At 36.3% G+C, this 26,912-nt stretch overlaps 1 protein-coding gene across 4 annotated transcripts in view; it reads left to right on the top strand.

Annotated features, from left to right (window-relative positions):
- The window catches only part of HDAC2 (histone deacetylase 2), a 38,121-nt gene extending 16,808 nt beyond the window's left edge, over positions 1 to 21,313 (top strand). For all 4 annotated transcript variants that reach the window (NR_033441.2, NR_073443.2, NM_001527.4 and 1 more), the window contains 9 exons: positions 923 to 1,064; positions 5,081 to 5,173; positions 5,254 to 5,362; positions 8,193 to 8,333; positions 8,871 to 8,979; positions 9,931 to 10,061; positions 10,835 to 10,990; positions 12,576 to 12,633; positions 13,253 to 21,313. Coding sequence is in view for 2 of the 4 variants with exons in the window: in NM_001527.4 (NP_001518.3) it covers positions 923 to 1,064; positions 5,081 to 5,173; positions 5,254 to 5,362; positions 8,193 to 8,333; positions 8,871 to 8,979; positions 9,931 to 10,061; positions 10,835 to 10,990; positions 12,576 to 12,633; positions 13,253 to 13,283 (970 nt within the window). In the remaining 2 variants the exon portion in view is untranslated. The remainder of the gene's footprint in view (positions 1 to 922; positions 1,065 to 5,080; positions 5,174 to 5,253; positions 5,363 to 8,192; positions 8,334 to 8,870; positions 8,980 to 9,930; positions 10,062 to 10,834; positions 10,991 to 12,575; positions 12,634 to 13,252) is intronic.
- Positions 21,314 to 26,912: the final 5,599 nt, after the last annotated feature.

Genomic DNA, 26,912 nt, shown 5'->3' with positions numbered 1-26,912 from the left:
AGAATATTCTTATGAGTGCTTAGTCTGGAAATATCAATTTACATTGTATTGTTTTATTTAGCACAGTTATGGCACCATTATATAATAAATACAATGCTTTGCCATCTAATAATATCTCACTTCACTATACTTCAAAAGGATGACATGAGAAGTCCATTTTCCCCTTATTTTGACATGAGTATACACTGGTAACAAAATGTCATGACATGGTGATTCATGTGACTCCTAAACTGCGTTTGAGTTACAACTGTGTCACTAATCTGTGGTGCTCCAAGCACCAGTTTGAAGTCATGAGAGTACCACATGTAGCCTCTGTCACAGCTAATCGATTCTGCAGTTCAAATGAAGCCATAGGTAATAAACAATTGAGCATGGCTGTCTTTCAGTAAAACTTTTTTTATGGACACTGAAATTTGAATTTTGTATAATTATCACACGTCAGAAAATACTCTTGTTTTGGTTTTGTTTTTAAACCATTTAAAAAATAATAAAAACTTCTTAGTTCAAAGCTGAAAAAAGAGGCAATTGGCCAAATTTGGGCCATGGGCCATAGTTAGCCAATCCCTATTTTATACTATTGAAGATTTACTACAGAGGTGTTTTAATTAACAATCTTGAGTATGGTATAATCTTCAGTTTTTAATATATTAGAAATATGTGCTATGTTTTTGAAGCATGTAGAATAGAACAGATTTCACAAAGAGTAAATATATATTTTTTAACCTACATTGGGCCACAAGTGGGTATTTAAAGGCCTGAGGCTCAAACCTCAGATATTTGAATAACCTCTTAGGCTGAATGTAAAAGGTGATTAAACATTCTGGAATGCAAGAGCTCAAAAATGGGTTTCCTGAATTTGTGGTGCTTCTTCCCATCTTAGAACCTTTAAAGGAAAAACCAAAACTTATGGATTTGTTTTCAGGTATCATCAGAGAGTCTTATATATTGATATAGATATTCATCATGGTGATGGTGTTGAAGAAGCTTTTTATACAACAGATCGTGTAATGACGGTATCATTCCATAAATATGGGGAATACTTTCCTGGCACAGGAGACTTGAGGGTAAGACTAAATTCTGTCTGAAAAAATATTGTGAGATGAACCTAGGAGATCAGTAATCCTATACTTGAAGTAGTATTTTTCTCCTGAGTTAATAATTTGAAACTTGTATGCAGAATTGAATTACTACGTATGCAGTAACATTTGCTAGAATTCACTGTTGCTGACTATAAGCAAAAATTTAGTGAAAACTTAAGGACAGTTTTTTTCTCAGCTGTTTTCTTTGGTTGAATAAATGTTTTTGAATATCCACAAAGCATGAAGCCCTTCTCTTGATGTTCAGTTTGAATCTTCAAAACTACCTGATGGTAGCCTACGTTGCTATTGATTGTAAAGAATGGTGGAATAAAATAGACTAGGTCTTTTTAGGTTCTTCTGCTCCTCTCTTTTGTGATTGGTCTTGATTTTTAGTAGATCTAATTTTAATCTTTTTTTTTCTTTAAGCTTCTAAAATTGGTAATGTATTTAGGTAGAGAAAGGATACCATAGTGTAACCTTGCCTGCCTGTTAACATTAAGTGTATTTCTATTTTATTTGTTATCTTTTTCCATTTGATGCTCTTGTCTTTTATGACTCTGAAAACCACTGGTCAAATCCTATTTCTATAAGTTCATTGAAGGTTTTTTGCCTCACTACACTTTTTTTGAACCTAACTATACAAATGTCGAAATTTATTCAATAATTTAAACAGCTGTTTTTAGTTCAGCCTGGATTATATGGGAGATTTATATGGCATTGAACAAAGTTTTAAACTATTTTATTAAGATTATTTTTCACATCTGTGGTATATCATTACAGTTTAGCAACCAAAGTTTAAAGAGTTGCCATAAAGTATTCTTAAGCTGTATGGCTTTTCTTTATTAGATCACAGTGTGATACTTTCTCAGTAAACTCTTTGAGTAAAAGAGTTACCTTACTGAAACTTTTCCATACTTACAAATGGGTGGGAGGTCAAATGTTTGGTTTGAGTTTAAATTATTTAGCTTTTAAAATTGCAGATTTGTAATTTCAATTCCTTGCCAGTAAACTCCTTCAATTTCTCCCTTTCCCCACCTGGTCTTATCTTACAGACCAGTGCTTCTCAAACAGTGGCGCCTAAACTGAGGAAAGCAGATCAGCATCACCTGGGAACTTGTTAGAAATACACATTCTTAGGGCCCAGAAACTCTGGGTGATTCTTCACCTTAAAGTTTGAGAACCACTGCTGTAAACTGATAGAATACATTTGTCAACAACCATTACATCCTAGTGGAAGTCAAGCAAAAGTCTTCTCTGTTTTAAGCTTAAAGAATAAGACAGTATCTTTGCAGTGTGATGCTAGTTTATCTCAGAAGTGGAAAATGGAAGCTTCATTTAATTTCTGACAGGTGGATGTCACTATGGTCTCATCTCAGTTATTATTCAAAATTCTTACAGTTTGAAGTTTTTGAAAATATTAGAGAATGCTGTTTTAGAAGGATTTGAGAATGGCTTTCAACATCTCTTTTTCTCACTTAAGATTTTACAATCGCTGGGCCGGGCGCGGTGTCTCACGCCTGTAATCCCAGCACTTTGGGAGGCCGAGGTGGGAGGATCACGAGGTCAGGAGATCGAGACCATCCTGGCTAACACAGTGACACCCCGTCTCCACTAAAAATACAAAAAATTAGCCGGGCGTGGTGGTGGGCGCTTGTAGTCCCAGCTACTGGGGAGGCTGAGGCAGGAGAATGGCGTGAACCCGGGAGGCGGAGCTTGCTGTGAGCCGAGATCGCTCCACTGCACTCCAGCCTGGGCGACACAGCAAGACTCAGCCAAAAAAAAAAAAAAAAAGATTTTACAGTTGCTGATGTTTTCAGGATAACATTTGAATATTTTAAGCATGTCCCCATAACTTCGTAAGAGAATTAAAATCAGTCATTACATTATATGTACAGCTGTTTTTGGACTTTCTGTGTAATTCACGTGTATCTTTGGATGTTAATTTAATAAACACTCCTTTTTCTGCCTGCTAATTCATTCTCATGCTGAAAAGAAGGCTACTCTGAGTTTAGCTCATTGTTGAAACTGTTTGCTTTAATTCAAGTAGTCTAGTGGAAGAAAGAAAGGTGGCATAGTAGCAGTTGCAGAATGAAACCTGGAAGAGAGAAAGCTATGTCTAACAAGGGCAGCAGCTCTGAGTTGCCAGCTAGTTAGTAGCAGTTAGGATGAGAAGTGCTGACCAACTTTTCTGTATTCTGAAATCTTAGGGTCAAAATATATTTCATCTGTGTTTTAACTGTGCAGTAGGACTGTAAAGTTTTCACAATACTTTGGCTTTTCCATATTTGTATGGTTTGTATTTAGTTAATCTTAATAAAAACTTAGACTTCAAGAAAAATTGGGAGAGGAGGTGTGTAATTTTGCTTGCTTTCTCCTCGTTGGATGTTGGGTCTCATAACTCTAATATTGAGGGTAAATTTTGCTTTTGTAAAATTGGACTGAAGCTAAGATCATTCCATGAGAGGTTCAGAAGAACTTGCACAAGTGCTAGTAATCCTGAAAATTCATGGATCTTCAGACATTATCATTCAACGCACATAAGAATTAGGCACCCCCCCCCCACCCCACTCAGGCGCAGTGGCTCATGCCTGTAATCCCAGCACTTTGGGAGGCTGAGGCGAGTGGATTACCTGAGGTCGAGAGTTCGAGACCAGCCTGACCAATATGGTGAAACCCCGTCTCTACTTAAAATGCAAAAAAAATTAGCTGGGTGTGGTGGCGTGCACCTGTAGTCCCAGCAACTCAGGAGGCCGAGACAGGAGAATTGTTTGAACCTAGGAGGCTGTCTTGGCTCACTGGAGTGCAGTGAGCCGAGATCATGCCACTGCACTCCATCCTGGGCGACAGAGCAGGACTTGATCTCAAAAAACAAAAAAAAACAACAAAGAGGCACACCCCAATCCTTTGGTATTGCAGTTAAAATACTATTTTGTAGTAATGTCTGTACTATACAGTATCTTCTAGGAATACGTATACACACACAGAAATGCATATGCACACCTACAAATGCATAACATATACAAATAAGTAAGTATATATAATATATGTATATATCATTTAAGAGTATATGTAGCTGGAACCTTTGCGTCTTTTGAGAGAGATTAATGCCTGGAGTGGTACTCATTCAACAAGTAGGAACAAAATTTGTTTGAAGTCCAAGTCCAATTAAGAACAAATCTGAGGCTGGGCACCATAGCTCACGCCTGTAATCCCAGCACCTTGGGGGGCCGAGGTGGGTGGATCACCTAGGTTGGGAGTTTGAGACCAGCCTGTTGAACATGGAGGAAACCCTGTCTCTACTAAAGATACAAAATTAGCCTGGCATGGTGGCACATGCCTGTAATCCCAGCCACTCGGTAGGCTGAGGCAGGAGAATTGCTTGAACCTGGGAGGCGGAGGTTGCAGTGAGCTGAGATCACGCCATTGCGCCTCCAGCCTGGGCAACGAGCAAAACTCTGTCTCAAAAAAAAAAAAAGAACAAATCTGGTGCTTTAGTCGGTAGCTGTTAAATCTTCGAGAAAGTGTGGGTCGTTCTTTCATCATAAGTAAACTCATACCAACAGATTGTGAACCACAAGAAGGATTCTGCAGATGATTGTCCGGCAGGGCTTTTTGGCTTAATTTATTTTCCACAGGTTTACTCATAAAGTTGCCTTGTCATCTTAAATATTCTATTTATGATGGATTTTCTGGTTTAATGTAATGTAATTTCATTGCCTTTAACTTGTGTTAAATTTCTTTTCTGTCAAAAATAATCACTACAGATTAATTGAAAATGGTTCTTGTATGCTTTACAAGCAGTCTATAAATATTGGAGCATATACTTATTTGTTGTTTATTATTTCCTTTCTCAGTTTGATTGTTCCGGTCTCAACTTCTAAGATGAATTCAAAATTGGATCCTTAATACTTAGTCTTTCAGTCTTTTCAAAATGTAGTAAACAAATGCCAAACTTTTTATTATAGAATATTCTCTAAGATCAGTTTAATTATGTATTTTAGGATATTGGTGCTGGAAAAGGCAAATACTATGCTGTCAATTTTCCAATGAGAGATGGTATAGATGATGAGTCATATGGGCAGATATTTAAGCCTGTAAGTATTATTGTTTTCACAATTGGAATGGAATTTCAGAATGTTATTGGAGATGCTAACATTTGTTATCTTGTGTGTAGATTATCTCAAAGGTGATGGAGATGTATCAACCTAGTGCTGTGGTATTACAGTGTGGTGCAGACTCATTATCTGGTGATAGACTGGGTTGTTTCAATCTAACAGTCAAAGGTAAGCAATTCAAAGGGTGGTATTTCCAGAAAAAAATGGTTTTTCTTCCACCCAAGAACTCCCCGTAAAAGTTCTCATTGTAGTTTCTTGCCTGCTGTTTTAACACTGTACTCTGCATTTTTCATGGGGTTTTGTCTGTTGTATGTATGACTAGAGTTATTCTTGTTTCATTATGGCAGATTTATATATACATTTATACAAGACTAGTTTTTTAAGGTTTATTGTAGTTTGAACCCAAGGCAGCTATTTTTGAATGGTTGTTGACTCAGTGTAAATAAAACATGCATACTTTTTTACTTAATTGGATTATTTATTTCTCATTAAGGAAGAAGAGGGTTTAGCTCTCCTCACCATTTTGCCCACAACATACTTGTACCCTTCCCATACCTCTATTTTTACAAATCAGAATTTGATTGTGATACTTAGTGTTTACGGCAGCATCTTTAAACACTTTTCAGCTTATCCAGTTGTTCTTTGCTGCATAATTGTTCCTAAGTTTCTCATTTGCTTAGTTTTCTCTCCACTTATTGCTGAACTACTGGTGTCTCAGTATCTTCATGTGTTCAGATTCATTGAATATTCTGTCACTTTCACCTTCTTGAAAAACAGCCTTCTCATCTGTTCATGTTTGGATGACTATCTTTGGTAGACCTGGCAGGACACATAGCTGTTCTCTGCTTTTTTTCTGTTGTATTGGTTCTCCCTGGTGGCTCTGTTCTCTGTCCTTAATTTTTTTCTCATGTTTTGGTGGAGTGCCTTCTGAAGTAGCTTCCTGATAAAAAGTGTGTGGGGGATTAGGAGTGCTGCAGTACATACTAAATTTTGATCATGTGTTGAAATCAGCATATGATTGAAGGCTAGGCCAAAGCAAAATATCACCATTCTGGAATGAACTTCTAGGGTGTAAGAATAAATCTGAAATTTTATTTAATAAGATATTATAATGTATATGTAGATTAGAAATGATTTTTATCATGAGTGTTTGTGTATGATTTTAGAGGTTTTTTTCCACGTGAACTTTTAGGTAGCAAGTTGACAGTGTGCTTTGTATTCTCTAAGATGTGGAGAATTCTCAAATAGAACTTTCTCCAGAACAATTGCTGGTCTTAATGGAATTGGATAACTAAATACAGATATTAAAAGCTTCTTTATTTAATGTTATGATTGCTACTATACCAGCTATATTAGAATTATGGTATAATCTGTTATTCTATGTTAAGTGGAATGATATTAAATTAATTGTCCCTTTGTAGGTCAACAGTGGTTGAACCGCAGTTTCATATTGTAACTTAATGTGTTAATAACCATCTTTTGCCTCAAAATGTTTATAAACTTTCTAAAATGATCTACCTAATGTACTCTTAAAAGTGTATATTAACTATCAGTTTTCCTCTTTGACTTGAAAGTCCTTAATGTTTTTGTACTTAATATTTTTTATAATCATAAACTGCAGCAGTTCACTCTTAGAAAAAAATTTACTTTGTATTTCAGCTAATAGAGTTTCAGTTGCATAAAGCGTGTAAGGATATTTGTAATTCCAAGTCTTAAACTTCATTCTGAGTTTCTCTGCTGCCAGCTTTGATTCAGCTTTTTCAGATCTGCTGAAGTTAGTTATCTCTTTTCCATCTCCTTGCTGCCATCAGCTATGTTCTTCCTCTTGTATTGTCTCCCATTCTTCATTTTTACAAATTTTGGCCTTTAAAAAAATCCCTTTCGAGTCATTTTTGTCAAGTTTTGGGATGAAGGAAAAGTAAACATCTTTGTTTAGCCAGCTATCTTTACTTGGAAGCCTGTAAGTTAACTTTTAGTATGTTTGTTTTTTCTTTAAAAATATCCAAATGGTTTTTATCTGTTAAAAGAAACTTTTCTAGTAGCAATAATAAAAATTGAGTGCTAGAATTATGTAAATCACATGTTGCAACTATTGAAGAATGCTTAATGAAAATTCCCACAGTATACAGTTACATGAAGAGAACAGATAAACTTTGTAAAATTAACTCTGAAATGGAAGGAAATATAGAAAAACGATTTTTGAATAATGTCATTTTTAGGTGGTTAGTTTTTTCATTGTCCCTTTTTAATTTTTTCCCAAATACTCTTCAGTATGCACAAATGTCTTTTGTAATTGAAGGATTTTCTTTTCTTCTTTAAAGATTGAGTTATGTGCCTAACTGGTAATATTCCGAGAAGGGAACTTACTGGAAACTTATAAATGTTTATTGAATTATGACATTTATCCACATAAAATATTTACTTTTATGTTAGGTTTACTATTAATATTAAATTTCTACACGTAGAAGTTGAAGTTTTTGAAAATTAATAGATGTTTTTAACTCTTAAGTTAGGAAAACTACTCAGTACCACTACCTAAAGTTAACTCAGGGTTAAACTATGTTGTTTAGCTTTCCATAATTATTTTACACATGTCCATAGGGAAAGAAAAGTCAATAAAAATTAATTTAGATGATACATAATGTTTTATTGTAACATGATGAATTTCACCATGTAACCCTACATGAACATCTTTCTGTGTTAATAAAATAGGTGTATATTCATATTATAATCTTAATATAGTTGTGTACTTGACTTTTCCATCAGGGACACCTGCTAAAATAGCTAGTTATATCTTAATTTTTTAATATGTATTATTGTATAACGTGTTTGGAAAGGAGTTTTAGACTTGACATTTTTTACATTTTTATTTGTTTTTAAAATATTTAGAAAACCCATTTTGGTTGAGTAACATTTGCACTTATTATCTTTTTAAAATTTATTTTTCGAACTGTTGCAGTATGCAGATTTTGTTGTTACCCAAATCTTCTTGTCTTAGGTCATGCTAAATGTGTAGAAGTTGTAAAAACTTTTAACTTACCATTACTGATGCTTGGAGGAGGTGGCTACACAATCCGTAATGTTGCTCGATGTTGGACATATGAGACTGCAGTTGCCCTTGATTGTGAGATTCCCAATGGTAAGTGTTCTCATTACAATATCTTTATTGTATGAACTGTCAATACAGATGCTCCTCTAATTATGTTGCAATTAGGTCCTGATAAACCCATCATAAGTTGAAAGTATGATAAGTAGAAAATGGATATAATACACTTAACCTACCAAACATGACTTAGCCCAGCCTACTTTAAACGTGCTCAGAACAGTTAGGTTAGGCTTCAGTTGGACAAAATAATCTAATACTGAGCCTGTTTTATAAAAATAAAACGTTGAATATTTCATGTAATGTACTGAATACAAGACATTGAAGTTGGTACAAAAAAGCCAGAAAACTGTAAGTCAAGCCATTGAAAGTCAGAGACTGTCTGTATATAGAAATAGATGGATGAATGATTAGAGTAAGTGCCATTCTTTATAAATAGGAGAACATTCACTTTGTGTTCACTTTTAAACATTTTCTTAGGAAATATTTCACCACCTAAATCTGGATTCTGTGCATGGTTTTTTGTGAAAACTGAGCTTGTAATATGTAACTTTATTTTATTGTTTTCATTAGAGTTGCCATATAATGATTACTTTGAGTATTTTGGACCAGACTTCAAACTGCATATTAGTCCTTCAAACATGACAAACCAGAACACTCCAGAATATATGGAAAAGATAAAGTAAGAAATCATTGAATTGTTTTGATAAACATTTTATCTTGACAAAGATTTAGTATGCTTTAAAGGGCCAAGTATGATGGGTCTTTTTAACTTTATTAGATATTTTGTTTTTTTCTAAAGGATTTGAAACATTAAGTTACTGATTATTCTTTTTTTTTTTTTTTAATTTTTAATTTTTTTGTCAGGATGGGATATTGCTTGGTTGCCCAGGCTGGTCTCGAACTCCTGGCTTCAAGTGATCCTGTCACCTCTGCCTCTCAGAAGTGCTGAGCTTACAGGCATGAGCCACCGTATTCAGCCATTTAATTTCTTCAGTTAATGGAAATAATTTTTTTTATTAGTTGAAATGTATTTTAAAATTGCAAGGTGCACTATAAGTTATTTTCATTGTCTGGAACATTTTGTTAAGGCTTTGTCTCCACAAGCAAAGTAGAGACATTATAGTACATAGCATGGGTTTGAGTCACCTCTGTACCACAAACAAGCTGTATGATGTTTGATAAGTTCACTTGCCTTTGTGCTTATGTTTTCTCATCATTGAAATGGCAGGCTAAAATAATGCCTCCTTGGCCAGTCAAGGTGGCTTATGCTTGTAATCCTAATGCTTTGGAAGTCCGAGGTGGGAGGATAGCTTTAGACCAGTAGTTTGTGACCAGCCTGGGCCATATAGTGAGACCTTGTCTGCAAAAAATTTAAAAATTAGCCGGGCATGGTGGCATACACTTGTAGTCCTAACGCGCAGAGGCTGAGGCAGGAGGATTGCCAGGAGTTTGAGGCTGCAGTGAGCTATGATCTTGCCACTGCACTCTAGTCTGGGCAACAAAGAGAGACCTTTTAATATATAGGTTTAGCTAGACCAAAGATGAAATTTTTTGCTAAATATTTTCTCTTGCATGTAAGAACTGCAAAGAAATTTAATTTTGTCTAATAAACTTTGCATGTGTAATTTAGACAGCGTTTGTTTGAAAATTTGCGCATGTTACCTCATGCACCTGGTGTCCAGATGCAAGCTATTCCAGAAGATGCTGTTCATGAAGACAGTGGAGATGAAGATGGAGAAGATCCAGACAAGAGAATTTCTAGTAAGATAATGCCTTTATTTTTCCAATTTGTCAAAATGATAATTGAAATGGAAGGTTTTAGTGGCCTAAGAACTTCACTATAAAGTCATGTTCACGAGCACACTGTTAATATTGTCATTTTTGCCACTTTCAGAGATTTAGCTTCCTGATGTCTCAGAACCTGATTTGGGTGTCAGCAGTTTCAGTTTGTATGGCTGGATATACATATATGATTGAAAGTTTTCAAAAATTAGCAACTTTAGTATATTTGGAAATTAATAAGACATCTCATTTATCTAAAGTAGGGTGAACTAAATAACTAAACATCTGTTTGATTTTACAACTTCTCATTACACTTAATGTGATGGTTAGATTGTAGCATAACAGTATGTGTAATGGTATAGACTGTCTAACATATTTGGTATTGGTACTTTTTTTTTGGTCTACTTCACCTCTCAGCTCTGAAATAAAATGCTACTTTTTAAGTAATGACATTATTCCCATCCCCTATTAGAAAAACACACTTTTTTCCTTTAGAGTTTCAGCATTTTTAAAGAAAAAGAGATTCCCCCAATTTTTATTATGTGTTTTTGAGCCATTTCTTCATACATGAAAGCAAAGTTTTCAATATTAAATAAACCATTCATTCCATTCAAATTTTAAAATCATTAGGCATGTTACCCTTTACGTTTAAATGTGGTAACTAACTGCTTAGTGCATTTGTATGAGTATGCTGTAATGATTATAAAACCTGTGACTGTTTTTGTCAAAATTTATTAAAATATTCTGTGCAGTTCGAGCATCAGACAAGCGGATAGCTTGTGATGAAGAATTCTCAGATTCTGAGGATGAAGGAGAAGGAGGTCGAAGAAATGTGGCTGATCATAAGAAAGGAGCAAAGAAAGCTAGAATTGAAGAAGATAAGAAAGAAACAGAGGACAAAAAAACAGGTCAGATTTGTTTCTTGGTAATTGTGTTTTAATTGTAAATTTTAAAAATTGGGCTGCATTATAATGTTTATGCTATCGAGAAGTCAGTTGCACAGGTATCAGGAGGAAGTATGCTAGGTAGGTGACTCTTTTTTCTTACATATAAGTGGTACTTAGCTCTTAAAGCTTTTATATAAATGTTATTGTTCCTATTTGCTTTAGTAATACAGGAAACCTTATTTTCTTGATAACATAGGTTTAAAATAGTGAACATTGCATTGTGATATAGATTGGTTAAGAAAGAGGACAAAGTAATTATGAATCTATTGGTAGTGCATGGTCAGAACTGAACTTCTAAGGTAATTTTTAGCTACCTAAAGCTTATTTAATGGGAGAAAACACAAAGAAGAGTTACATATCCTTAGACCAGTTTTGCCATTTTGAAAAAGGTCAAATAATGGATTTTGTTCAGAAATTGAAGAAAACATTAAAAACTCTGAGGAAAGCTAGGAGGGGATTTGGGACCTGGGTTAGGGAGGAAAAAATACTTTGATACATTGCCTTACTTTAAAACGCTGTGTTAGCTTTAGGCAATTGAATTTGCTACCGGAATCTGTTACCTTTCATCTGACTTCCCAGAACACTTACACATGCCTCTGCCATTTTATTTAACACATCATATTATAGCACCTCACAGGATTTTGTCTCCCTACTAGACTGAGCTGCTCATGGCTAGGGAACACAGTATCTTAAATATTTGTATTCTCAGCACTTGATGCATTTCCTAATGCAAGTAATGGTGATGAGCACACGTTTTAGTTAACCTGTTAATTTTGATCCTGTAGTATGTGAAAAACTGATTTAGAGATAATGATCCAATTTTTCCTATGTCTATCAAATTGAAGTTATGTGAATAAGCCAGCTTTTTTTTTTTTTTTTAAACTAGAGAGTTAGTAATCTATAACATCTGACACATTTAGTTCTGTTCTTTTACTTGTGGATTCACTCCTCAATAGGCTACATACAGAAATTTATAATTTTAACTTCCCAATGTATTACAATGATGGCTTCAGTCTATATTTGTAACTGATTGACATCCAAAAATTCAAGCCATGACTGAATTAAGGACGACTTAACTTTAGCTGTAGGATTTTCCTAACTTTTTTTCTTTTCTTTCATTTTCACTATGTTTTCTTGTCTGTCTGTTTTTGGTGTTCTCATTTTTAAAAGCTTTATCTTTTCTGTGCTTAAAAAATAAACTCTCTATTTGGTGATGAGGCTCTTTCGATAGGGCCTTGCAGTTGTTAAAATTCTTCAGCCTACTGAAAAATGAAATACTACCACAGAAAGCTTTTTTTAAATCTATAGGTCAAAACCTAGAGTTAGGGCCACCTTTTCTCCCTCTGCACCCCAATCCAGTGACTATTCATAGCTTGTACTGCCATCGTTTAGGAAACACCCAACACAAAGCTTATTTAGACCGAATTCATTAATAATAAGATTGCATAACTTTTTATATTTTAAAAATAAAGTATATTTTGAAATAATATATATACATTTTATATTTCAAAATAGGTTTTAATCTTTTCCCAATCTTTATTTTTAGACGTTAAGGAAGAAGATAAATCCAAGGACAACAGTGGTGAAAAAACAGATACCAAAGGGTAAATGATGTTCCTTATCAAGTACTTTTTACATACTATAAAAATACTAAACATGTTTATTGGTGTGTGTTTGTGTACACACTTCAGAAATACTAGACTGAACCTTAGAACATCATTATGAGGTGCTCTGAATTTTAGTTTGTATTGGTACATAAGACAACATATGCCATCTTACCTATTGGTTTATCAGTATAACTATATCAGTCAGTTTGTATTCTTGTACGTAGTTTATCTGAGACCCTTTTTTGCTGTTATCTTTTATATATGCACTTAATGGTTTTCATGGTGTTCTTATTTCTGTGTACATGATTTTTTTAGTGTTGTGAGATAGGTAAATTTAAGAAACAATTTTAAGTAAAAACAGTTGAGGATTTTAGTGTCAGAAAGCATGTAAATGTTTGGGCACACATAATTTTGTGCCAGCCTTTACAGGATAACTTGGAATAGTTTATTAAATCACTAGAAAAATTAAGGCATTAATTACTCCAGAAACACTTAAGACATTATCAATTAATGTGTTTCTTAGCATGAGCCTACAGGACCTGATCAATATAATAGGTCAGTGCATTTAAACCAAGATTGTGCCATTTTTAATATTTCACATTGCCTCTTTTAACAGAACCAAATCAGAACAGCTCAGCAACCCCTGAATTTGACAGTCTCACCAATTTCAGAAAATCATTAAAAAGAAAATATTGAAAGGAAAATGTTTTCTTTTTGAAGACTTCTGGCTTCATTTTATACTACTTTGGCATGGACTGTATTTATTTTCAAATGGCTTTTTCGTTTTTGTTTTTCTTGGCAAGTTTTATTGTGAGTTTTTCTAATTATGAAGCAAAATTTCTTTTCTCCACCATGCTTTATGTGATAGTATTTAAAATTGATGTGAGTTATTATGTCAAAAAAACTGATCTATTAAAGAAGTAATTGGCCTTTCTGAGCTGATTTTTCCATCTTTTGTAATTATCTTTATTAAAAAATTGTACTTGGATTATCTTTTGTCTGTTTATTACTACAATATGAAGTCTTGTTTCAGTGGCTAATGACATCATTTCTGTAGACTTACAATACACTCTAGGTGAAAGATAATGATTACAGCTTGAAAGATAACTATTTGCTGTTTCTTTGGGAAGAGTATTTATAGTAATTATTACTTATCTTTGCAATAGAAATTCTACCACCTTGCCCTCTATAGCTTAGCCAGTTAGTATCAGTGAAGATTAACATCCCATTACAATTTATGAAATAATACAGACTCTGCAATTGAGATGTAGGAGTTCTTTGAGTTGACCCAAAGATTCTCAAAATTGAAATGGAAATTCTGAATTGAAAGAAGAAACTGACCAGAACTTGTATTGACCAGACTTGCCTATAGTATATTGCTGGTTTAAAATGGAACCTGCAGACAAAACCTGTTTCTTTTACTGCATTTACATGGCATCCAGGTTCCATTATTATTTACGTGACATCCAGGTTTCTAACTCAAGGAAATAAACACAACTGATTTATCATTCAGCAACTACTTATTGTGTGTCTGCCCATTTTAAGACTGTAGGAGTGTAACTGAATATAATGGAAAAATGCTTTCACTCAGAGCTTACACTCAGAGCTTACATTCTAGTAGCAGGAAGCAGACAAATGGGGGTAACTCCTGCTACTAAGATGTGCAAAGAAGACAAAACATTTTAGGAACTTGCCAAAATCAGTGAAATCTCCCTTTTTGTCAGGCCCACATTGATTCTTTTGAGATTAAAAATTACAGAATGCCAGAAGATAATTCAGTCAAAAGTATTTCTCTTCAGTGCAGTAAAATATTAAAAGAAAAAATATTTCTCTACAAGCCTCTTAAATGTTTCAGACATTCACAATAGCACCTAGACTTTTGTAATGAACAGCTGTGCACCCACCCCGACTTAACAAATATTTTACTTTTGCTATATTTGCTTCGGTGTTTTTTTCTTAAAATACACCGAAATTGAAGCTCTCTTTGTGTACTTTGTCGTTTGTAATCCTCCCTCCCTCCCAGCCTTAAGAAGTAATCACCATTGTGATTATTTTATCCATGTTTTTGTGAATATTTTACCCATGTTTTTGTACTTTTGCTACATATTTGTTATCAATCTGTAAACCTTTATGACATTAGGAACTAAGAAACTTAGTCCCTTCGTTAGGGGGATAATGAAATGTATTTAGTGTTTGTGAAACATAGATGGTATGTATTTGGACAATTCTGTAACTTTGCTTTTTTTATTTTTATTTTTCCATAGCTTATTGGGGAACAGGTGGTGTTTGGTTACATGATTAAGTTCTTTAGTGGTGATTTGTGGGATTTTGGTGGACCCATCACCCAAGCAGTGTACACTGCACCCTATTTGTAATCTTTTATCCCTCGCCCCCCTCCCACCATGCCTCCCGTCTACCATGATGATCCTGTTTTAAATAAGAAAATACCATTTCGCAGGCTCCAGATGTTCTGGCATCCTCCCTGTGGATTTCCCAGTGCCTGCAGCTCACAGGACAACAGGGGCTGTGGTAGAGTCACCTATGAGATCCTGGAGTAGTGGATGGAGGAGATGGAACAGTGAAGACGGAAACTGAGCTCAGTATCCGGGTGCCAGGAGACAAAGGCCCTTTGCTTTTTTTCATTTAATATTCTGATCTACCCCTGTTGACACATGTTAAGTATAGTTCATTTTGACTGCTATGTATTATGTTCCATTGTGTGAACATACTGAAATTGTACACTTCAATACTATACTGGATCTCCTTGGGTGTATTTAAGAGGTTTTGTTTTTCTAAGTAGTTGGTTATATACAACTAAAACCTCAAGAGAACTATCTAAAGCAATTTCAGCAAGGTGATTTGGTACAGCATTAATAAACAGAAATCAGTAACACTTAGTGACCAAGTCTGTTGGAAGAACAAAGACCCCCATTTGTAATAACAAAATTTTTAGAAATAATATGTAAAGAAGCTATGGTTCTTGTGTCTAGTAAGGTCAATGTAACATAGTAAGATGTCAGAATACCCTAATACTTTAAAAAATTCATATAGGATAAAAATGATATTTGAAATTGGCAAGGAAAGACATTATTTTGTAAGTGGAATTGGGACAACAACTGGTAACCAAATGGAAAACCCAGTTTTCTGCCCTCCACTAGAAGATTTAAATAGGAAAAGATAAAACTACCAAAAACCTAAACTCTTAAAGCAAATGGATTGAAGAAGGCCTAAGTGTGACACCAAACTCAACTATAAAAGATATATTTGATAACAAAAAAAAAATTAGTTCAGTGGACCAACAAAAACTTAGAAGACAAGTCAAGAAAAATGACAAAAGACAGAGTGGGAGGCAGATTTGTAACTCATCCAGGTCAAAAGGCTCATATCTAAAGATAGTAGAGGAACAAAATGTATAAGGATGTGAACTGGGAAACAAATACATATAAATAGTTTGTAAATATGAAAAGATCTTTAACCTCAGTAAATAAAAAGCTATAGAGAGACTTATTTTTTAACTTAGTTTTTTAAACCTATTATGTTTATTTATTTTTTCTTTTTTTGAGACGGAGTCTCGCTGTTGCCCAGGCTGGTGTGCAATGGCGCAATCTCGGCTCACTGCAACCTCCGCCTCCCAGGTTGAAGCCATTCTCCTGCCTCAGCCTCCTGAGTAGCTGGGATTACAGGCGCCTGTCACCACGCCCAGCTAATTGTTCGCATTTTTAGTAGAGACGGGGTTTCACTATGTTGGCCAGGCTGGCCTCGAACTCCTGACCTCATGATCCACCCACCTTGGCCTTCCAAAGTGCTGGGATTACAGGTGTGAGCTGCCGCACCTGGCTGTTTATCTCTTTTTTTTAGAGAAAGGATCTCGGTCACCCAGGATGGAGTGTGGTAGCCTGATCATATCTCACTACATCTTAGAACTTCTAGGCTTAGGGTATTCTCCCACCTCAGCCTCCCAAGTAGCTGGGACTACAAGTGTGCACCATCACACCTAGCTGATTTTTACATTTTTATTTTGGAGAGATGGTGTCTCCCTGTGTTGCCCAGGCTGGTCACAAACTCCTAGGCTCAAGCGATTCTCCTGACTCAGGCATGAGCCACCGTACCCGGCCTAAACCTATCATGTTACAGACTTAGAAAGCAACTATTGTCAAGTGTTTGAGGAAACTCAGGTCAGGTTTGGTAAACTAAGATATTAACTCAAGTAAAGCTCTTTAATTCATTTAATGAAGGTGCCACATTGTCTCAGTTCTCTATGGCATGGGTGAATGCTGTTCTAAGTCAGCATTGGTACTCTAAGCTAGTTACATCATATCTAAGCTTTGCCCTTCTACCAGAGCTGCTAGCATTCTGTCAATGGGCAATTATTTGAAGTTCTTACATTGAAGTTAGTCACCTACATCTTCTGTTTTTTATGGTTTTGATGTAGTAATACTGCTGAAGTTTTTTTGATAACTGCGATTCATAATATTTGTTATTCATATTGTGATATAAATGATAAGGGCTTTTGAAAACAAGTAGTAATCATTTCAATAGCTTAGGATCTCCACCATAATCTTAGGAAAATTACTAACCTCTGTGCCTCAGTTGCTTCATCATTTAAAATGAGGAAAATAATAGTCCCTACTTAATAGGTTTGTTGTGAGGATTGAGTTAATAACATAGTTAATGCTCAGTAAGGGTTAGCTGCTATTTTTTTTTCTTTTTTTTTTGAAAGAGTCTCACTCTGTTGCCCAGGTTGGAGTGCAGTGGCATGATCTTGGCTCACTGCATCCTCTGCTTCCTAGGTTCAGGTGATTCTCATGCTTCAGCCTCCCAAGCAGCTGGGAGTACAGGTGTGCACCACCACACCTGGCTAATTTTTGTATATTTAGTAGAGACGGGTTCTCACCATATTGTCCAGGCTGGTCTTGAACTCCTTACCTCAAATGATCCACCCGCCTGGGCCTCCCAAAGTGCTGGGATTACAAGCATGAGCCACCGCGCCTGGCTTGCTATTGTTATGAGGTAAAGGTAGATAGATGGGTGAGAGTGGTGCCAGGGGAAGTGTTAAATTTTTGAGTGTTCCTTTAGATGCCAGATGGGTTGTATCTGAGCCTTTTATTGCAGTTTGATGCCTACTAGTGTGAAGACTACTAGGTCATAGTGGATAGAGAAGCAATCTTTTGGAGACCTGATTTTAGCAAGGATACGAATAATATTTGACAACTTTGGGGGGATCTTGATGCCTCTGTAATTTACTCAAGGATAATCTCAAGAAAAATGGCATTAAGTAGATTACAGAAAAAATAGAACTATCATATTGTTATTATTGGCTATTTACATGAGCAATGCGGAGAAATGTTTAGGATTACAGCATTTAGAAGCTTCTCAATTGCTGCATTTCCTCACTGTACCACAAGATGGCAGATACTGCATTTAAAATTTTTTTTTCTGTGTGTTTTCTCTTATAGTCACTTGGTGGCCATGTAACAAGCAGAGCAACATGTATTAACAGATTCTTTTTGAATGCAATATTGGATTAAAAACTTTGAATTAAACTACAATTAAGTTTACTGATTTAGGTTTTCCTATAAGAATTATAACACTAATTTCTAAGTTTTACATCTGCAAAACACAGTAGAGTGTATCTGGTAGTCATTGACTAATTGTGACTTTGCTAGTCAGACAAAATGGAACTGAATATTAGAGCCAGAATAATTTTCTGTTTTGACTGGTGGTAAGAATCAGTTAGTATACAGAATGGGAAAGAATTGAAATTTATTTCTAGGAATTATAGTTATAGTGAAGTTAATATTCAGGGGCATTGGGTGCTTGTTCCACGACTTTTGTTTACTGAACTAAGTACCTAACCCCTTTGGTCTTTGAACACTGCAGAGTTATGATTAGGATTATTAATGAAAAATTCTTTTTTAGTAGAACAAACAGTTAAGGACAGAAGACACCTTGATTAGATTCTGTTATTTGCTCTTTTTATTAAGATTGTTTTTACTCTAAATGTTAAAGAAATGTATAATTATTTCTAAGGTAAAATGAGTAGCAGGATTCTGAATAGGAGATTTTTTTTGGCCAGACCCATTTTGCAGCCAGTGGTTTGTATTTAGGAGTGAGTTGAACAAAGAAGACTCTAATCTGTTTTTGTGTTGTGGATTTTTTATTCTATTGATAAATCAGTAGCTTCCAGCTTCTCTTGTATCCTCTACTAGTCATCTTTTTTGTTTCTTCAGAAATAAACATCCAGGGTCACTTCCCTGCCCTTGCCATATACTTACTAGGATGATGTACAGGTAAAACTTTTAAAGGAAAGTACGGACAGGCAATTCCTAAAGTAAAAGAGAGCACATTATCAAAACTGGCTGTACTTAACAAATACCAACAAAAAGTCATTACACTTCTGGCAACAAATAATGTTTGATTTAAAAAGACAAGAATTTCCCCTTTTGCTCTTATTTTTTAAATATGCTATGTCCTTAAGTGAGAAATGCACTTCAAAAATTTTCTTATTCTGAAGTCTAGCCGGAAAGTTTGAACTTGTGTTGCCTTTGGCTAGACTAGGTGAAATTAAGGGGCTTAAGAGGGCACTGTTGTGTGGCCCTGTGGTAGATAATAGCCCTCCAAGCATGAGGATGGGAGATCTACCATTCACCAGTATTTCCAAAGTTATATTCTTAAAAAGGCTAGATTTCTAATTTCCGTAGAATCTAGGTATGTTCTTTTCAACTCAGCATCTGATAAGAAAGTTTGGGCAAGTAGGTGCGAAAAATTTACTCTAGATACCATTTTCCAGGAAAAAATATAATTCAAGTCCAACGTATTACTAGCTGTCACCTTCCCCAACAATCAAATAAGCATTGTTATTGTCAAACACATTTACTTGTATAGTTCAGTGTTATATGTAATGGACTTAGGTATAATTCCTGTGCTATTCCCTTTTGATGCCAAACACCCTTTTGTAAGCTGTTTTGTTTGAAATCCAAATTTATATGTCTTAAAGTAAATGGCAGCATTGGGCTTTCTTAATGTAATGACTCTTCTGCCATCCTATTTCTAGAGTTAGGCAGAAAATTCTGTAAATCTATCTTATTTCCAGTCTGTTTGTGACTATGGTGGGCAATAAATCTGATTTCCCAGAAAAACACATCTGGACCCCTATAGGTAAGGTAAACAAGCCTCATCTTAAATTGTTTGTACTTCCGACCTGACCTCAAAACACCATCATCATCTAGAGCAGCAACAAGTAAAGAACAATGCACTGGAAATCACATATATGGGTCTAGCACCAGCCTTTACATTACACAACTTTGCTTTGGGCAAGTCATTTAAATTTCTGTGCTTCAGTTTACTAAATCTATGAAACTGACTAGGTAACAGCTGACATGCTTTTCCAGCACTCCGTCTTTTACCTGTCTGATGTCACAAATTGATCATTCCTTTCTGGCCTTGAGATGCGTATCAACCCAGATAGTCATTAACCCAGATAGTTGGCATTCAGGATAAAATGTTTTTGCCTTTCCTGTCCTGCAAGCTCTTTAAAGTCCAAAATATGCCTTTATATCTTTATGTGTAATAGGTATGAAATCTATTTCTTGGTTGTTGAATAGGATAGGCTTATTAGACATTCTAAAGTCAACTTTTTTCTCATATTTAAACATTTACCCGTAGAAATTCAGTTTTTTAAAGTTTTAAGTCAGTTGATTGTACCAAACATTACTATTAAAAAAAAATCAAAGTCAGAGACCAGAGTTTCCCTGCATCAGCGTTCAGTCAGGAGACAGGAACTATACTAATTTGAACATGTAAAGTTAAATATAATCCTTAATAATAACAGGATTGGAATAAGGGATAAAAGAAAGAGAATTCCTTCTATATATATGTATACACACACATATATATATATACATGTGTATATATGTGTGTGTATGTATATTATATAATATACATACACACACACAAAGAATGTCAGACAAGGAGCAGCCACCATTCTGCTTACTTTCACTGGATTAAGAGTTTCATAAGGGCAAGGGTTTTGTTTGTCTTACACTCCACTGGGGATTAATCTCCAGTGTCTAGAACAGTGCCTAACACATAAATAAAGCCTCAATTATTATTTGTGGAATGGAATGGAATTTGAGTGAAATGGAATGGGAATAGAATGGACTGGAATGGAAATAGAAGTGGGAAGGGGAATGGAAGGGGATAGAAGAGGATTGAAGAGGACAGAAGGAGATGGGATAAGATGGGATGGGATAGGATCGAATCTCAGGTCCAGGAGTCAGAATAACTGAATCCTATTCCAGTTCTGCCATCAACAAGTCCTGTGAAATTTGGAAAGTCACTTAACCCTCTGGCCTTGTAGAATATCTCAGTGGGCATGTCTGATGTTTCTTCATGGTTAGATATAGGTTGCATGTTTTGGGCAAGAATATCACAGGAATGATGCTGTGTTCTCAGTGCACCCAGTCAGGTAATGCATGATTTCAATTTCTCTCATTACTGATGATGTTAACTTTAATCACTTAGTGAATGAGAACATGAGCATCATTTTGAAAGCAAACTGCAAAGTTTTGATGTCAACATTTTAGCAATTACGTATAATTTCCCCCAAGGATACTGGCTTTGAGATAATGTAAATATACATGGGAAAGACAAAGCTCAAATAAAGGAAAAAGACCCATCTCTTTTCTTGCTGATCACATGTGTGAAGATAGACTATTGCTTCTCTCTTCTCCGTGCTTCCTCAGAGAAAAGAAAGGGTGTTTGTAAATATGGAGGATGTATGGAACTGTAAATTTTATAAGCATATTTAAGCCTAAGCCTAACTTTAAAAATTGTTGACACACACACAAAGTTAGTTTCAAGATATTTATTTATTTATTTATTTATTTATTTTATTTTTAAATTTTTTTAGTATTTTTTGATCATTCTTGGGTGTTTCTTGGAGACGGGGATTTGGCAGGGTCATAGGACAATAGTGGAGGGAAGGTCAGCAGATAAACATGTGAACAAAGGTCTCTGGTTTTCCTAGGCAGAGGGCCCTGCCGCCTTCCGCCGTGTTTGTGTCCCTGGGTACTTGAGATTAGGGAGTGGTGATGACTCTTAACAAGTATGCTGCCTTCAAGCATCTGTTTAACAAAGCACATCTTGCACCGCCCTTAATCCATTTAACCCTTAGTGGACACAGCACATGTTTCAGAGAGTACGGGGTTGGGGGTAAGGTTATAGACTAACAGCATCCCAAGGCAGAAGAATTTTTCTTAGTACAGAACAAAATGGAGTCTCCTATGTCTACTTCTTTCTACAGAGACAGTAACAATCTGATCTCTCTTTCTTTTCCCCACATTTCCCCCTTTTCTATTCGACAAAACCGCCATCGTTATCATGGCCCGTTCTCAATAGCTGTTGGGTACACCTCCCAGATGGGGTGGCGGCTGGGCAGAGGCGCCCCCCACCTCCCGGACAGGGAGGCTGCCCGGCGGAGACGCTCCTCACTTCCCAGACGGGGCGGCCAGTTAGAGATGCTCCTCACCTCCCAGATGGGGTGGCGGCGGGGCAGAGACACTCCTCAGTTCCCAGACGGGATCGCGGCCAGGCAGAGGTGCTCTTCACATCTCAGACGGGGCAGCGGGGCAGAGGCTCTCCCTACATCCCAGACGATGGGCGGCCAGGCAGAGACGCCCCTCACTTCCTAGACGGGGTGGCGGCCGGTCAGAGGCTGCAATCTCGGCACTTTGGGAGGCCAAGGCAGGCGGCTGGGAGGTGGAGGTTGTAGTGAGCCAAGATCATGCCACTGCACTCCAGCCTGGGCAACATTGAGCACTGAGTGAGCGAGACTCCGTCTGCAATCCCGGCACTTCGGGAGGCCGAGGCTGGCAGATCACTTGCAGTCAGGAGCTGGAGACCAGCCCGGCCAACACGGCGAAACCCCGTCTCCACCAAAAAATATGAAAAGCAGTCAGGTGTGGCGGCGTGCGCCTGCAATCCCAGGCACTCGGCAGGCTGAGGCAGGAGAATCAGGCAGGGAGGTTGCAGTCAGTCGAGATGGCGGCAGTACAGTCCAGCCTCGGCTCGGCATCAGAGGGACACCGTGCAAAGAGGCAGAGGCAGGGGCAGGGGCAGGGGCAGGGTCAGAGGCAGAGGCCAAGGTATTTATTTTAGTGTTGTTTACAATAATAGCCTAGATATTTACCTTCAAAAATTTCTTTAACCAAAATGGTAGGGTAGAAGCAAGCTGGCTTTACTCCCCCTGGCCCACAGAAAAACAAGGACAAATACACAGTGCTTTGATTATCACCAGCAATGTCCCACTACTCATATGTGAGGATAAGCCAGTTCTTGAGGCCATAGAGAGGTGAAAAATTCTGAGCAGATGGTGATACAATTAGACGTCCATATCTACAATGCCCCTCCCCTCCTTTTGCTTGTCACCAAGCACAGGGAAAATTTTCTCCAAACTCAGAATTTCTACTCTTGAAAAAGTGAGATTGAGGTGGACAACCAGCTTCCCCCAACCCCATAGTGATTTTCTTGGCAGGAGACCTGTCCCTGCCTCAACCCATAGAAAGCATTAGGAGTGCCTGAAAAGAAAAATATCCCCAAGGACAGCCAGAAACAAAGAGGAGAGGCAGGACTACCATCACCAGCCCTGAAAACTCTGCTGTGTTACTCAGCCGAAGGAGATGCTAAATCAGGGTGTCTCAGCACCACACTGTAGGAGGTTCATTCCACAGGTGTCTTAGGTACAAATTCTAAGCCAGCCTTTCCACACTATCAGGATATCCCCTTTGGGACCGCCTCCATTTGGGACAGGTGGCACTCTGATTGTTTAGTAAAACCAAGGCAAACCTGGGCTTAAGGTCCTATCTAGTGCCAAAAAGGAGGTAGCAACCTAGAAGAGAGAGAGAGAGAGAGAGGGGGAGAGAGAGAGAGAGAGAGAGAGAGAGAGAGAGAGGGAGAGAGGGAGAGAGAGAGAGAGAGAGAGAGAGAGGAGAGAGAGAGAGAAAGAAAGAAAAAAAAAGAAAGAAAGGAAAGAAAAAAGAATGAAAGAAAGAAAGAGAGAGAGAGAAGAAGAAAGACATGGTTTGGCTCTGTGTCCCCACCCAAATCTCATCTTGAATTGTAATAATCCCCATGTGTCAAGGGTGGGACCAGGTGGAAGTAATTTGATCATGGGGGGTGGTTTCCTCCATGCTGTTCTTGTGATAATGAGTGAGTCTCAAGAGGTCTATAAGTTTTTATAAGTGTCTGACATTTCCCCTGCTGGCACTCATTTTCTTTCCTGCTACCCTGTGAAGAGGTTCCTTCTCCCATGAGTGTAAGTTTTCTGAAGACTCCCCAGCCATGCAGACCTGTGAGTTCTCTTTTCTTTATAAATTACCCAGTCTTAGGTATTTCTTCATAGCAGCATGAGAATGGACTAATACAGAAATGAAATAGGAAAGGAAAGAAAGGAAAGGAAAGGAAGAAAGAAAGAAAATCAACAGGTAAATTAGAAAGAATCTCTAAGTAAACATATCCAATAAAAAAAAAAAAAGCCAGACAATGAAGACTGAAATAAATAATAAACCCTTCAATGCAAAGACATAGATGTACATCCACAACAAACAACAGCAAACAGGGAACTATGACCTTTCCATACAGAAAAAGCGAGGAACCAGTGACTGACCCTAAGGAGATGGTGACATGTGAGCTCTCTAACCAAAAATTTAAAGTAGTGGTTTTAAGGAAACTCAGTGATCTCCAAGATAACACAGACAAGCATTTGAGAAATTTATGAGAGAAATTTAACAAAGAGATTAAAATGATTTTAAAAAATCAGAAATTTTGGAACTGAAAAATATATTTGCTGAACTGAAAAATTTATTAGAGACTCTCAAGAGCAGAATGGATCAAGCAGAGGAAAGAATCAATAAGCTTAATGACAGGCTATTTGAAAATCCACAGTCAGAGAAAAAATAACATAAAAAGGAAAAAAGATCACCTACAAGATATAGAAAATTATCTCAAAAGACCAAATCTAAGATGTATTAGTGTTCAAGAGGGAATTGAGCAAGAACAAGAGGTGTAAATCTTATTCAAAGAAATAATAACAGAAAACTTCCCAAAACCTAACTTACATGATCACAAGGTCCCACAACAGACTGTCTGCAAACTTGAGGAGCAAGAAGAGCCAGTCTGAGTCTCAAAACTGAAGAACTTGGAGTCCGATGCTTGAAGCAGGAAGCATCCCGCACAGGAGAATGATGTAGGCTGGGAGGCTAGGCCAGTCAAGCATCCCAGCTACTAGGGAGGCTGAGGCAGGAGAATCATTTGAACCCAAGAGGCAGAGTTTGCAGAGAGTTGAGATCATGCCGTTGCACTCTAGCCTGGGCAACAAGAGTGAAACTCCATCTCAAAAAAATAAAAAAATCAATCAGTCAATCTAAGATCTGAAATTATGAAACTACTAAAAGAAAACACTGGGATAACACCCCAAAACATTGGTGTGGGTAAAGCATTTTTATGTAAGACCTCAAAAGCACAAGCAACAAAAGAAAAAACAGACAAATGAGATTACAGCAAGCTAAAAAGCTTCTGCAGAGTACAGGAAAAGTCTTCAATAGTATGAGGAGACTATCCACAGAATGGGCAAAAATACTTGCTAACTATCCATCTGGCAAATGAATAATAAGCAGAATGTATAAGGAGCTCAAACAACTCAATTGCAACAAAAAAAATTGGATTGAAACATGGGCAAAAGATCTGAACAGATATTTCTCAAAAGAAGACATACAAATGGCCAACATGTATATTAAAAATGCTCAGCATCACTAATCATCAGAGAAATGCAAACCAAATCCACACTAAGATATTATCTCACCTCAGTCAAAATGGTTTGTATCAAAAAGACAATAATACATGCTGAGAGGATGTGAAGAAAGGGGAACCCTTGTGCACTGTTGGTAGGAATGTAAATTAGTATAGCCACTATGGTGAACAGTATGGAAGTTCCTCAAAAAACTAAAAATAGAATTACCATGTGATCCAGCAATTCCATTACTGGGTATATATCCAAAAGAAAGGAAATCAATTTATCAAAGGGATATCTGCACTCCCATGTTTATTGCAGCATTATTCACAATAACCAAAGTATGATCAACCTAAGTGCCCATCAACAGATGACTAGATAAAGAGAATGTGGTATATATACACAGTGGTATAATATTCAGCCATAAAAAAGAATGAAATCCTGTCATTTGCAGCAACGTGGATGGAACTGGAGGTTATTATGTTAAGTGAAATAAGTCAAGCATAGAAAGACAAATATTGCATGTTCTCAGTCATATGGGGGAAGTAAAAAAGTGTATCTCATGAAGATAGAGAGTAGATTGGTGGTTACCAGAGGCTGGAAAAAATTGAAGGGAAGAGGGAATAAAGAGAGGTTCATTGACGGGCACAAATATATAGTTGCATAGAATAAATAAGACCTAGTGTTTGATAGATCAGTGTCAAACTGATCTATGACTATGGTTTACAATAACCTATTGTATATTTCAAAATAACTAGAAGAGAATAATTTGAATGTTTCTAGCATAAAGAAAAGACAAATATTTAAAGTGATGAGTATCCTAAACACACTGATTTGATCTTGACAAATTATATAAATGTATTAAATTAAAACATGTACCATGAAAATATGTGTATTATCAATTTTTAAAACATTAAAAATCTCTTTAAGAAAGTATAGTTTATTAATTCAATTAAATACTTATTCCATAAAAGTTATAATGTAAATCTATATTCTTGACAAGGAAATATATTATTTATATATATATTAATTAGTGAGGGAAAGCAGATTATATAACAAACGTATAATGTGACTACATTGTTGTTCAGATGATAACAAAAAAACAAATGCATACACTGAAAATAAACTTGACAATATTTAATCTATTAATAATACTTCCCCAAATTCTTTGAGAATAGAACTCTTTCTTGTTTTAGCAACTGCTAATAAAATTGGGACCTATTATCTGCAGAGCAGATTATGGAAGATTTGAGCTTAAGTGGTGATTCAGACTCTATATATGTGTATCAACATAAATAGAGTCTAGAGGTTTAAAAATCAAAATATTAACTGATTTTTTTCTGTATGATGTGATTAATATGTTTTTAAATTTCTTCTATTTATTTCTCAATTTATCTTCAATGAAAACATACATTACTTTGATATTTTCTTAAAACAACTCATTGGCTGCAAAATGTGATTAACTTTCTACCACTGGAATATTGTTAAC

The sequence above is a fragment of the Homo sapiens genome, chromosome 6 (genome assembly GCF_000001405.40).
Source record: "Homo sapiens chromosome 6, GRCh38.p14 Primary Assembly".
Lineage (NCBI taxonomy): Eukaryota > Metazoa > Chordata > Mammalia > Primates > Hominidae > Homo > Homo sapiens.
The sequence above is the reverse complement of the archived record's forward strand: the minus strand, read 5'-3'. Positions and strand labels throughout refer to the sequence as shown.